This window comes from Homo sapiens, chromosome 4 (genome assembly GCF_000001405.40).
Source record: "Homo sapiens chromosome 4, GRCh38.p14 Primary Assembly".
NCBI classification, from domain to species: domain Eukaryota; kingdom Metazoa; phylum Chordata; class Mammalia; order Primates; family Hominidae; genus Homo; species Homo sapiens.
Window position 1 is genome coordinate 25,613,985 of NC_000004.12, and position 13,624 is coordinate 25,627,608.

The 13,624-nt window shown below is 45.2% G+C and overlaps 1 long non-coding RNA gene and 1 pseudogene across 1 annotated transcript, besides 1 other annotated feature; both read left to right on the forward strand.

The window, feature by feature from the left end:
• Nucleotides 1–3,870: 3,870 nt before the first annotated feature.
• Nucleotides 3,871–5,481, forward strand: LOC124900687 (uncharacterized). The gene is made up of 2 exons (XR_007058091.1): nucleotides 3,871–3,951; nucleotides 5,265–5,481. It is a non-coding gene; the product is annotated as an uncharacterized LOC124900687 (long non-coding RNA).
• Nucleotides 5,623–6,124: an enhancer, noted in NCBI's record as "H3K4me1 hESC enhancer chr4:25621229-25621730 (GRCh37/hg19 assembly coordinates)". NCBI's record gives its function as "activates a minimal SCP1, AML or CMV promoter by ChIP-STARR-seq in primed H9 embryonic stem cells {active_cell/tissue: H9 hESC(primed)}" and the evidence as "EXISTENCE:reporter gene assay evidence [ECO:0000049][PMID:30033119]".
• LOC100288962 (S-phase kinase associated protein 1 pseudogene) lies at nucleotides 8,684–9,811 on the forward strand (annotated as a pseudogene).
• Nucleotides 9,812–13,624: the final 3,813 nt, after the last annotated feature.

Here is a 13,624-nt window from a genome sequence, read left to right on the forward strand (position 1 = left end):
AGGTGAAAGGAAGGAGAACCTGCAGCAAAAGCAGTTTTGATTTTTTTCACTTTTTAGAAAGTTTTCCCATGTGACAAGCAGCAGCAACCCACTCATGCTTCCTCAAATGGAAATGGCATCTATTGGAAGTCTATGGGGGCTCTGGCAATCAGTGGGTGCCCAAAGGTGCAGGTTGGGAAGATGGGTAGGAGCTGAGAAGGAGCCTTGGAGAGGAGCCCTGCAGGTGACGGCCAGCAGGGATACTGCAACCATGATCTCCCCGGGAGAGCTTCTCATCACCTCTTCATCTCCTGGGTAGTAGCATCTAAGTGACAGTGCTTAGGTGTGCCTGGGCTCCTGGCTCCCAGGAGGTGAAAAGTACCACGAGGAGCTGTTCAATTCTAATCAGATATTTCTGCCTGGGGAAGGTTCTCAGCCTGTAGCCTCCTCTAAGTTACAAAGGGAACTTAGCAAGTGTTAGAAAAGTGTTAGAGACAGGCTGGTACTTAACCAGGACTTTCTTGGGTAGAAAATATACTCAGCAATAAAATGTCACATAAAATTAAGAAACTCTTTCAAATAAATGTGTTAGTGATAACATAGGGCTGGGCGCCATGGCTCACGCCTGTAATCCTAGCACTTTGGGAGGCTGAAGTGGGCAGATTACAAGGTCAAGAGATCGAGACCATTCTGGCCAACTTGGTGAAACCCCGTTTCTACTAAAAATACAAACATTACCTGGGCGTGGTGGCACGCGTCTGTAGTCCCAGCTACTCCGGAGGCTGAGGCAGGAGAATTGCTTGAACCCGGGGGGCGGAGGCTGCAGTGAGCCGAGATCACACCACTGCACTCCAGCCTGGGCGACAGAGCAAGACCCTGTCTCCAAAAAAAAAAAAAAAAAAGGTGATGACATAAACCCTGAAAAATAGCAGTAGATAGAAACACTAGAAGTATTCACTCAGCCTGCAGATAATGACTGCTTGGTGAATATATGCATGAGAGGATGAGAGGGGGAGTAGGAAGCAGGAGGATCTGAGCCCCCAGCGCTTATGATTTCCATAACCACTAGGCAAGACCGGTTACAGTTTGCAGAGCTCAGTGCTGATAGAAAATGTGAGCTCATTGTTAATAACTTATTAAGAATTTCGGGCCAGGCGCAGTGGCTCATGCCTGTAATCCTAGCACTTTGGGAGGCCAAGGTGGGTGGATCACCTGAGGTCAGGAGTTCGAGACCAGCCTGACCAACATGGAGAAATCCCGTCTCTACTGAAAAAAAAAAAAAAATTAACGGGGCGTGGTGGCGCATGCCTGTAATCCCAGCTCCCTGGGAGGCTGAGGCAGGAGAATCGCTTGAACCCAGGAGGTGGAGGTTGCGGTGAGCGAAGATCGCACCATTACACTCCATCCTGGGCAACAAGAGCAAAACTCCGTCTCAAAAAAAAAAAACAAAAAAAACAAAGAATTTTAGCTGGGCATGGTGGTTGAGGCCGGGCGAGGTGGCTCATGCCTGTAATCCCAGTACTTTGGGAGGCCAAGGCAGGCGGATCACCCCAGGTCAGGAGTTTGAGACTAGCCTGGACAACATGGTGAAACCCCGTCTCTACTAAAAATAAAAAATTAGCCGGTTGTGGGGGCATGCACCTGTAGTCCCAGCTACTCAGGAGGCTGAGGCAGGAGAATCGCTTGAACCCAGAAGGCGGAGGTTGCAGTGAGCCAAGATCGCACCACACTCCAGCCTGGGCGACGGAGTGAGACTCCATCTCAAAAAAAAAAAAAAAAGAAAAAGAAAAAGAAAAAATAATTTCAAGATAGTAACAGAAGAACGTTAAATTAAATGTAAGGGCTTTTTAAGTGTGGGATGCTGTGTGATGGTACAGGTCACACATACTCGAAGCTGGCCTGCTGCTAGGGGACTCTCCCCAAATAGATTGGATGCAGCAATGGCCACTCTACTGGAATCCCCTTTTTCATGCCGAGAAGTTAGGTGGGCAGGCTGACAAGTCACTTTTGTGGACTATCACAATATGTGAAGCTCAATGGGCTTCCTATTGCCCAGCTTCTATTCTTTCTTTCTTTTTTTTCTTTCTTTTTTAGAGACAGGGCCTCCTTATGTTGGCCAGGCTGGTCTTGAACTCCTGACCTCAGGTGATCCACCTGCCTCAGCCTCCCAAAGTGCTGGGATTACAGGAGTGAGCCACCAAACCTGGCCTTTTCTTTTTATCTACAAGCAATTTTTTGTTTGTTTGTTTGTTTTTAAACCATTTTCTCAGTGTGGGGCACCGGGAAAAACATAGTTCCCCCCTTTAGGATGCTCATAGTCTAGTGAGGCAGATTGTTTTTTTGTTTGTTTTTTGAGATGAGGTCTACCTCTGTCACCCAGGCTGGAGTGCAGTGGTGTGATCTCAGCTCACTGCAACCTCCCGGGTTCAAGCAATCCTCCCACCTCAACCTCCCAAGTAGCTGGGATTACAAACATGTGCCACCATGCCCAGCTAATTTTTGTATATTTTTTTAGTAGTCACAGGGTTTCACCATGTTGCCCAGGCTTGTCTTGAACTCCCGGCCTCAAGTGATCTTCCTGCCTCGGCCTCCCAAAGTGCTGGGATTACAGACATGAGCCACTGTGCCCGGCCTTGAGGGAGATAATTTTGCAAGCAAAGAATTAAAATGCTGTGCAATCCCCAGTGCAGGGGACATACGTGAAGGTCTGAGAGAGGGGCCCCAAGTTGGCCTGGGGGAGGCAAGAAATGGCCTCAATGGGCCATTCTAAAGACCATGGACTTCGTATATGGTGGATGCGGAGCCAGGGTTCTGATTTGTGTTTAGAACATCACGTGGCTGGGTGCAGTGGTGGCTCACACCTGTAATCCTAGAATTTTGAGAGGCCAGGGTGGGTGGACCACTTAAGCCAGGAGCTGAAGACCAGCCTGGGCAACATGGCAAAACCTTGCCTCTACAAAATATACAAAAATTAGCTGGGTGTGGTGGTGCATGCCTGTAGTCTCAGCTACTTAGGAGGCTGAGGGGTGGGATGATTGCTTGAGCCCAAGAGGTCAAGGCTGCAGTGAGCTGTGATCGTGCCACTGCACTCTAGCCTAAGTGACAGAGTGAGACCCTGTGTCAAAGCCCAAAAAAACAGGCTGGGGACAGTGGCTTATGCCTATAATTCTGGCACTTTGGGAGGCCGAGGCAGGTGGATCACCTGAGATCAGGAGTTTGAGACCAGCCTGACCAACATGGTGAAAGCCCATCTCTACTAAAAATACAAAAATTAGCTGGGCGTGGTGGTGCGCACCTGTAATCCCAGCTATTGGGAGGCTGAGGAGAATCGCTTGAACTTGGGAGGCGGAGGTTGTAGTGAGCCGAGATCCAACCACTGCACTCCAGCCTGGGCAACAGAGCGAGAACCTGTCTCAAAACAGACAAAAAAAAAAAAAAAAAGACCAGAACATCACACTAGCAGGGTGGAGGCAGCCAGACTGGTACTAGGGAGCACAATTATGGGACTGCTCATGAAATCGCTGTTGCAAAATTATGTCTGGGATAGTGAAAGAGATCTGACCTAACCATTTCCATCTTGCTTCTAAACCTCCAAGCTGTCCTTGTTCATTCCTAGGTACAATTTTGGGAGGCACTTAGCTTACAGTTTATAGTTTAGAACAAAGATGATAACAGTCCTTTCCCAAAACAAACCCCTTTCTTGCCTGGGGACTAGAGTGTCTTTGTAGACTAATGAATTAGTCAAAAGATTAGAAATTATGGTTTAGGAGTCATGCAGCTGGAGGCTACAAGATTCTGACCCTCCCCAAATTGCTCCTGGAGATAGCATCACTTTATAAAGCCTGAGGTCAGCGCTTGAGATATTTTGCAGAGCCTGGACTTGATGGATCAGCTGGCACCACCCAGATCCATAAATTGGCTCATCTGATCTTGTGGCCCCCATCCATCTGTGTTCTTGTGGAATTCACCCAGGTGAGTTCATGTCTGACCCAACCAATCAACACTCCTGACTCACTGGCTGTCCCCCTACTCACCAAATTATCCTTCAAAACTCTGATTCCTGAGGCAGGTGGATTACGAGGTCAGGAGATCGAGACCACGGTGAAACCCCATCTCTACTAAAAATACAAAAAATTAGCCAGGTGCAGTGGCGGGCGCCTGTAGTCCTAGCTACTCGGGAGGCTGAGGCAGGAGAATGGCATGAACCTGGGAGGCGGAGAGATCGCGCCACTGCACTCTAGCCTGGGTGACAGAGCAAGACTCTATCTCAAAAAAACCAACAACTCTGATTCCCATATGCTCAGGGAGACTGATTTGAGTAATAATAAGACTCTGGTCTCCTGCACAGCTAACTCTGCTTGAATTACTCTTTACTGTTTTCTCTATTGCAATTCTTCCTGTCCTGATAAATTGGCTCTGTCTAGGCAGTGGTCAAGGTGAACCCACTGGGCTATTACACTCACTATTCCAGTGAGACACAGCCAGGTCCTGAGCTACAACAGTGGTACCAGGCCTGGGGAGGGGCTGCGGATTCAATAGTTAATTCAGGGCTGGGTGCAGTGGCTCACGCGTGTAGTTCCAGCAGCACGTTGGGAGGCCAAGGAGGGCAGATCACTTGAGGTCAGGAGTTCGAGACCAGCCTGGCCAACACGGTGAAACCCTGTCTCTATTAAAGATACAAAAAATAGCCAGGCGTTGGTGGCACAGGCCTGTGGTCCCAACTACTCAGGAGGCTGAGGAAGGAGAATCGCTTGAACCCTGGAGGCTGAGGTTGCAGTGAGTGGAGAATATGTCACTGCACTTCAGCTTGGGCAACGGAGTGAGACTCTGTCCCACCCCCCCCAAAAAAAGAGTTAAAGAGTTAATTCAGGTTGGGTACAGTGGCTCACTAAGTGCTATAATCCCAGCACTTAGGGAGGCTGAGGCAGGAGGATTGCTTGGGCTTAGGAGTTTGTGAACAGCCTGGGCAACATAGCGAGACCTCATCTCTATTAAACAAACAAACAAACAAAAAAGGAGTTAATTCAGAGATAGGATCAACTTGGGCTGTTGATTGATTGGATTGGGTGGAGGTTGAGTGGGTATTAGAGTTGAAACAATAATTTTTATTTTTGCAAAGTCGAAACAATATTCTAAGAATAATTAGCTTCTGACTTTGGGCAGATATATGGACACAAGAAGAAAGGTAGCTTGGAGGGAAAGACTATGAATGTTATTAGTAATTTTGTAACTCAATAAAGATATTGGGAGAACTACATGTCACTAAATTTTTTTTTGTCTTGCAGAATCACCAGTGATTTTTAGTATAAATACGGCAGAGCTGGAAACCTGGAAAATAGAACAAAATGAATGGATTGGTTATCCTACCGCTGAAGCAATCAAAACAGCACAACTTGGGAAGAGAAAATTTAGGGTTCACAATTGTTTTTAGTTCTGTAATTAAGCCAATCATTCGAACACAAATATGTTATTTAAAAATAAAAACCATTTCCCTAGCTTTTATCAGTAGACTCGTAACTTATTTATTTATACCTTTAATAGACTGTGACAGAAGAATCCAGGTACTTAAATTAAAAGATGTAGGGGGATGGTGGGGAAGGAGGATTCTTCTAAAGTTCAACTAAATCATTCAAATTAAAAAATGTCCTTAATGATTTAATTGGTTAGTAGTCACCCTGTGTATACAACATAAATCCTTGAAATGATTAACAGAAGGGAAAGATGGGTGGCAGCCCATAACAGTCTCCTTATTTAGAAAGCATTTGGGGGCAGGTTTTATAATGCAGTCTTAAAATAGCCGCTAACCAGATTCTGATTTCAGGAGCTGTAAGAATGTGGAGGCCTTAGCCACATCACCTGAGTGGTAATTAGCATTAAACGACACAGCAACCATTTCTCATTTCACACTTTATAGGCCCCTTAGTTCCACCTCTGCGGTAATGGAGGGAAACTATTTAGGTATTCATATATGCGAGATCATACCGGGTGCCCTTGTGGGGGAAATATTCCTTTGATAGAATTTAGCAAGCCGGGGCAGGGGGGCGGGGGGCGCGAGTGCAGTGGCTCACGCCCGCAATCCCAGCTACTCAGGAGGCTGAGGCAGGAGAATTGCTGGAACCCGGGAGGCGGAGGTTGCAGTGAGCCGAGATCGCGCCACTGCACACCAGCCTGGGCGACAGAGCAAGACTCTGTCTCAAAAACAACAACAAAAAAGTATTTAGCAAGGGAATTCTTGACTGTTGAAACATACCAGTTTTCAAGGTACCCAGCACAGGTCTTAAAGCAAGGGCTTTTCTTCTCTTCCCGGCTGTGATGAGGACTCTGCCACCTTGAAGCCATGTGCTTGTCTTAGCTCAGGTTTGGGAGACAGGCACAGAGAACTACAAGGATTGAGGTACCTGTTCTCAGAGCTGCCAGGCTTCTCCTTTCTTTCCTTCTTTTTTTTTTTTTTTTTGAGATGGAGTCTCTCTGTGTCTCCCAGGCTGGAGTGCAATGGCGCGATTTCAGCTCACCGCAACCTCTGCCTCCCAGGTTCAGGCGATTCTCCTGCCTCAACCTCCCGAGTAGCTGGGATTCTAGGTGTGCACCACCACTCCCGGCTAATTTTGTATTTTTAGTAGAGACAAGATTTCACCATGTTGGCCAGACTGGTCTCAAACTCCTGGCCTCAGGCGATCCACCCACCTCGGCCTCTCAAAGTGCTACGATTACAGGCTTGAGCCACCGTGCCTGGCCCAGCCTTCTTCTTTTATAGCTTCCTGCAGGAGGGAGCTACCACAGCAGTTGGCACAGGGGGAGATCAGAGAGAGACTTTGCTACCAACCTGTTAAATGATGTGATCACATATTTTTCTTTTTCTTTAGAATTTTAAAAAATTGAAACAGGGTCTCCTTATGTTGCCCAGACTGGTCTTGAAGTCCTGGCCTCAAATGATCCTCCTGCCTTGGCCTCCCAAAGTGTTGGGATTACAGGCGTGAGCTACTGCACTCAGTCGATAACACACTTTTCATATAGGTAATGGCTCAGTAAATTTGGTTTTTGAGTCTTTCCACCTATAAGGCTGGGCAGCTGGGAGGATGAATGACATAATAGTCCTGATGATACAGGCTCTCTCTTCTCTCTGCGTTGGGGACATTGGTTTTTGTCAGAGGCCAGCTGTCTCCTGGAGCACACGTTCACTGGGGCCAAAGAGTCTGCACCGGTCTAAGGGACTTCGTATGTGGAAATCGCATTACTGCCTCTTACAGGAACTCCTTTTGTTTGGAACCAGCCTAACAAGACTCCTCTCTGGGCAATAGTTGATGTAGAAGTGTTTCTTCTCTTGACAGCCCTGCTCTAGGGGTTGAAGAATGACCAAGTTGATTCGGGTTCTCAAAACTTAATCAAGCATCTTCCTAAATGGGATTATTCACATTCCTGCGGCATGTGAAGCAAAATTGGAATCTGCTTGAGTATTTTTGCTGGAAGCAGGTGGAAGTATTATAACCAGCCTTTAGGGGAAAATGCCAGATATGCTGATGGACAAAGAAGTAACTTTGCTGAGAGAGTCGGCAGCTGGAGGGCATGCATGGGGGTCATAGATTGTACTTGGCAGCCAGGGTGGGACAGTTGCTGGCCTTGGAGGAATCATTGAGAGATTGCTTGTCACATGGCTTTGTGTCAAAGTGTCAGACCATGAAACGCCTCCACCCTAGGTGACTTCTGGATGACTGAGCACAGAGCACATCGGGGCTAAAACAGCTTCAAACCTTCCGTGAATTAGTGACAGTCATTGTTTGGTTATTAACTCTTGCGTGTGGGGGGCCGAGCCCCTGACGGCTAAACCAGGGGAATAAAACCGCCTTCTCCACTGACAGCCCTTAACCCATTGCTGACTTATGTTCTGGGTCCTGTTTGGACAGCCTTTCAGATTGGCTACAGGATGTGTTGATCTAGGTACTGCAAAAAAACTTCCTTCTAGAAGCCAGGACTTTTAACTTTACTCAAATATCTCTTTGACCAAAGGATGTGGTTATTTTGTTTCCTTCTCTCCAGCTCAGGGAAGCTGTCAATAGCTCTCTGAGGCAAAGAGTCTTCCAGCTGAAAACAGGTACCTCTGGGATTAGGAGGGTAAAAATGCAGGAAGTTCCCATAACTATGTACAACTTCATGTATGCATAATAATTAAAAATAGTTTTTTTGTTTGTTTGTCTTTTGAGACAGAGTCTTGCTGTGTCTCAAAAGACACAGCTGGAGTGCTGGAGTGCAATGGCACAGTCTTCGCTCACTGCAACCTCTGCCTTCCTGGTTCCAGTGATTCTCCCACCTCAACCTCCCGAGTAGCTGGAATTACAGGCATGCGCCACCACGCCCGGCTAATTTCTTGTATTTTTGGTAGAGATGGTGTCTCACTGTTTTGCCCAGGCTGGTCTCAAATGCCTGAGCTCAAGCAATCTGCCCATCTTGGCCTCCCAAAGTGCTAGGAGGCATTCCAAAGTGCTGGGAAGGTCATTCCTCCCAGGTCACCCCTCCTACAGCGTCCAGTCCTAAATTTTTTTTCAAAAAAGAAAAAAGTGGAGAAAGGAATGACTTTAAATGTCCTTCCTCAGATCACCCAATATAATTTATCTACCCCCCACCCAGGCACTGTTTACTATATCACACTGATATATTTCCATACATAGTATAACACATTGCTATTTAAAATGATCCTGTTTGAGCAGATGCTGCATCGCTGCAGAGGCCCCGTCCTCTGCCTTTCCTCTTTCTCCACTGGGGCCGTCAAGCTCTCCTTAGCCTCTAGCTGGCTGTCTCCTTAAGACCCAACACCCATAATACCTTCAATTAAGTTGCTGAGTTCTGATGGAGAGCTATTTGAAGTTGATGTGGAAATTGCCAAACAATCTGTGACTCTCAAAATCATGTTGGAAAATTTGGGAATGGATGATGGAGATAATGACCCAGTTCCTCTGCCAAATGTTAATGCAGCAATATTAAAAAGGTCATTCAGGCTAGGCACGGTGGCTCATGCCTGTAATCCCAGCACTTTGGGAGGCTGAGGCCGACGGATCACATGAGATCAGGAGTTCGAGACCAGTGTGGCCAAGATGGTGAAACCCCGTCTCTACTAAAAATACAAAAATTAGCCAGGCATGGTGGCAGCATGCCTGTAGTCCCAGCTACTCGGGAGGCTGAGGCAGGAGGATTGCTTGAACCCAGGAGCCGGAGGTTGCAGTGAGCTGAGATCGCGCCATTGCATTCCAGCCTGGGTCACAGAGCAAGACTCCATCTCAAAAATAAATAAATAAATAATAATAATTTTTTTTAAAAAGATAATTCAGTGGTGCACCAACCAAAAGGATAACCCTCCTCCTCCTCCAGAGGCTGATGAGAATGAAGAAAAGCGAACAGATGCTATCCCTGCTTGGGACCAAAAATTCCTGAAAATTGACCCAGGAACACTTTTTGAAGTCATTTTGGCTGCAAACTACTTAGACATCAAAGGTTTGCTTGATGTTCCATGCAAGACTGTTGCCTATTTGATCAAGGGGAAGGCTCCTGAGGAGATTTGCACAAACAGGCTTCCGTTGATACCAAAACTGACTTTACTGGAGGAAGCCCAGATACCCAAAGAGAACCAGTGGTGTGAAGAGACATGAAATATTGTGCCTGACACTGTCACACTGCAAGGATAGTTTCAAATACTGGTTGCACTGCCCTGTTTATAATTGTCAATATCAGACAAACAGTAGACAAGCGCAGCAGCATATCAATTGTATCAGCAGAATATCATCCTCACTGCATGTGTAGTTTGAGTACATATTCCAAACCTGTGGCTGAGTTTCCTCTAGTATGATCAAAAGTTTCTTTTCTCTTTGCTGTGAATAAAACTGAACTGTGGGTTCTCTATAAGTGACATTTTGAGCTTTCCTTCTTTTTTTTTTGTAAAGCAATGTCTGCCTAGTTTATTGTCCAGTTAACTTTAGTGACCTTTTAAAAGGTGGTATTATAAATAAAACAACTTGCAAAAAATAAATAAAATAAAATAATCCTGTTTATTTAAGGGTTTCTTTGATTATGGTCTTTTCCCCATGTAAAATAAACTCCAGGTCGGGCAAGGTGGCTCACACCTGTAATCCCAGCACTTTGGGACTGAGGCAAGTGGATTGCCTGAGGTCAGGAGTTCAAGACCAGCCTGGCTAACATGGTGAAACCCTATCTCTACAAAAATACAAAAATTAGCTGAGCATAATGGCGGGTGCCTGTAATCCCAGCTACTCGGGAGGCTGAGGCGGGAGAATTGCTTGAACCCAGGAGGCGGAGTTTGCAGTGAGCTGAGATCGCGCCATTATACTCCAGCCTGGGTGATAGAGCAAGACTCTGTCTCAAATAAATAAATAAATAAATAATAAAATAAAATAAACTCCAGTAATCTCATTTGTCTTTTTTTTAGAGACAGGGTCTTACTATGTTGCCCAGGCTAGTCTCAAACTCTCAAGCTCAAACAATCCTCCTGCCTCAGTCTCCCAAGTAGCTGGGACTATAGGTGTGTCCCACTGCATCTACTTCATCTGTCCTGATCATCCATCTATCCTTGACCTAAGACAGTGCCTGGTCCAGGGTAGGTGCTCAATAAATATTTGTTGAATGAAGAAATTCATGATTGTATGAATTTCTTCAAGTGTGAACCTTCTACAGAGCCCCACACTTTTTTTTTCTTAAGTAGATATTTGGGTTAGAAATTTTCTAAAATGAATTATTCAGTTCCATGCTATCTGCAGATAGAAGATACCAGAAAATTAAACCTACTCCAAATGACTCAGGGCACCATCATGAACACTGCCTATTATACTGGGCTATCATCCAGTTCTATTGAGCTCATGAATTTTTTTTTAACCTCTACCCAAATCACTGTGATTGTTGAATTTTTGGCTGTCTCTGCCATGTGTGGCTTTTCTCTCTTCGTTTTGGCTGGGCTATCAGCTCTTTCTCTCATAGAAGCACCTGCCACAGCTGTTTTCCTAATATTCATTTTTAACTTTGATAAAAACTGCATAATTGAGCTTGTGAGGAATGAATTTAACATATAAGTAAATAGGCCCTGCCTGAGATGTAAGGGAATCTCTTAAGCACCCTATGTGACTGTTAAATTGTCCTTAGTAGCATTTATTTAACTTAATTCAAAAAATTTTTTCCCACCCGTTGTTCATGCTGGATAAGTCAGGGAGTAGTCTCGTTGCAAGCAACAGAAACTGATTTTGGTTATCTCCAGAAAAGGGGGACTTTTTTGGAGCCCTGTGAAAGAGCGCATAAAATGGAAGCTATTCTATGTCACCAAGGAGCTCATAGTCTACACAAGGAAATTAGCTAAAACCATTTGGAGGCAATAACAGAAGAGGCAATTGTATCATTCTTTCTGTTGAGTCTCCATGTTATGTATACAAACTCTAAATGAGCAGGATTTCTGAGGAAGAATGGGTCTCTCTCCACTGAGAAGGTCACATTAGACTTTAAAGTAGAGGCGAGATGGGATTGGGAGCCTAAGGGGGTTTATAATTTGCTTAAGTGGGCCAAGCACAGTGTCTCATGCCTGTAATCCCAGCACTTTGGGAGGCCAACGTGGGAAGATTGCTTGAGGTCAGGAGTTCAAGGCTGCTGCAGTGAGCAGTGATCACACAACTGCAATCCAGGCTGGATGACAGAGTGAGACCCTGTCTCAAAAAAAAAAAAAAAAAAGAAAAGAAAAGAAAAAGAAAATTAGCCAGGCATGGTGGTATGCCCCTGTAATCCCATGTATTTGGTGGAGGGTGGGGGTTGGTGTGGGGAGCTAAGGAGGGAGAATTTCATGAGGCCAGGAGGTCGAGGCTGCGGTGAGCTATGATTGTGCCATTGTACTCCAGCCAAGGCAACAAAGCAAGACCCTATCTTAAAAAAAAAAAAAAAAAAGGTTGAATCTTGACTCAAAAATGCCCCTATAATGCAAAGGCAAAGTTTTGAGTGCCTTCACAGCGTGCTAGGTGCTGGCGATACAGCAATGGATAAGACAAAGGTGGTTCTGTGTATATTTCTCATCTATTTTTGCACTGAAATAGATATTTTGTGGGAAAATGCTTAATGTAATGTCTGGAAGCTAGGGTGGGCTTAATCGGTGTCAGTGCAATGAATAAGTGAATACATGAATAAAAATGATAAAGCTAGCAATTTCTCTGATTGTTTAGTAGGGGAGCACAGAAATCACCTCATTCAGTATTTTCCAATTTTCTATCATTTTCATACCATCATCATGATTTTGCCGTACACACAAATCACATTACTATTATTTATTGAATATTCATTCTTAAAGCCTAATCACTTGCTTTTTGCCTAAAAAATTATTTGAAATGAAAACATGCTATTACTGTGACAAATGGAATATTATTATCACTTTGTATTTAGATAGAAGTAACCCTGAAAGTGCATATAATGGAAAAAATAAAACAGCAATGTTATTCAATTCTATGCAGGTATTGCTTCTTAAGGAAGGTTCTAAGCCTATGGCTTCCTTTCTACTGCTTAAAAAGGGAACTTAGCAAGTATTAGAAAAGTGTTAAAGGCAAGCTAGTATCCAACTGAGACTTTTTTTAGTACAAATATACACAATGATAAAATGCCACTTACAATTAAGAGACTTGGCTGGGTGTGGCGGCTCATGCCTATAATCCCAGCATTTTGGGTCACCAAGGGGGAAGGATTGCTTGAGTCCAGGAGTTCAAGATCAGCCTGGGTAACATAGTGAGACTCCTATCTCTCTTTTTTTTGTGTTTTTGTTTGTTTTTGAGACGGAGTTTTGCCCTTGTTGCCCAAGCAGAGTGCAACGGTGCGACCTCGACTCACTGCAACCTCCGCCTCCCGGATTCAAGCGATTGTCCTGCCTCAGCCTCTCAAGTAGCTGGGATTACAGGCGTCCGCCACTGCATCCAGCTGGAGACCCCCATCTCTACAAGAAATATTTCAGTCCGGGCACGGTGTCTCACGCCTGCAATGCCCGTGCTTTGGGAGGCTGAGGTGGGTGGATCACTTGAGGTCAGGAGTTCAAGACCAGCCTGACCAACATGGTGAAACCCCATCTCTACTAAAAAAATACAAAATTAGCCAAGCACGCGCCTGTAGTCCCAGCTACTCAGGAGGCTGAGGCAGGGAAATCACTTGAACCTGGGAGGCAGAGGTTGCAGTGAGCCAAGATTGTGCCACTGCACTCCAGCCTGGGTGACAGAGTGAGACTCTGTTCAAAAAAAAAAAAAGGAAAGAAATAATTTTTTAAAAATTAGACTGGCATAATGTGTGAGCCTGTAGTCCCAGCTATTAGGGAGGCTAAGGCAGGAGGATCGCTTGAGCCTAGGAGGTTGAGGCTGAGTGAACTGTTGATCATGCCACTGCACTCCAGCCTGGGTGACAGAGTGAGACCCTGTCTCAAAAACAAAACAAAACAAAACAAAAAAGAATTAAGAGACTCTTTCTTATTTTATTTTATTTTATTTGAAGTTCCAGGATACATATACATGTTCAGGATGTACAGGTTTGTTACATTGGTGAACGTGTACCAAGATGGTTTGCTGTACCTATCAACCCCTCACCTAGGTATTAAACCCCACACACATTTGCTTTTTATCCTGATGCTCTCCCTCCC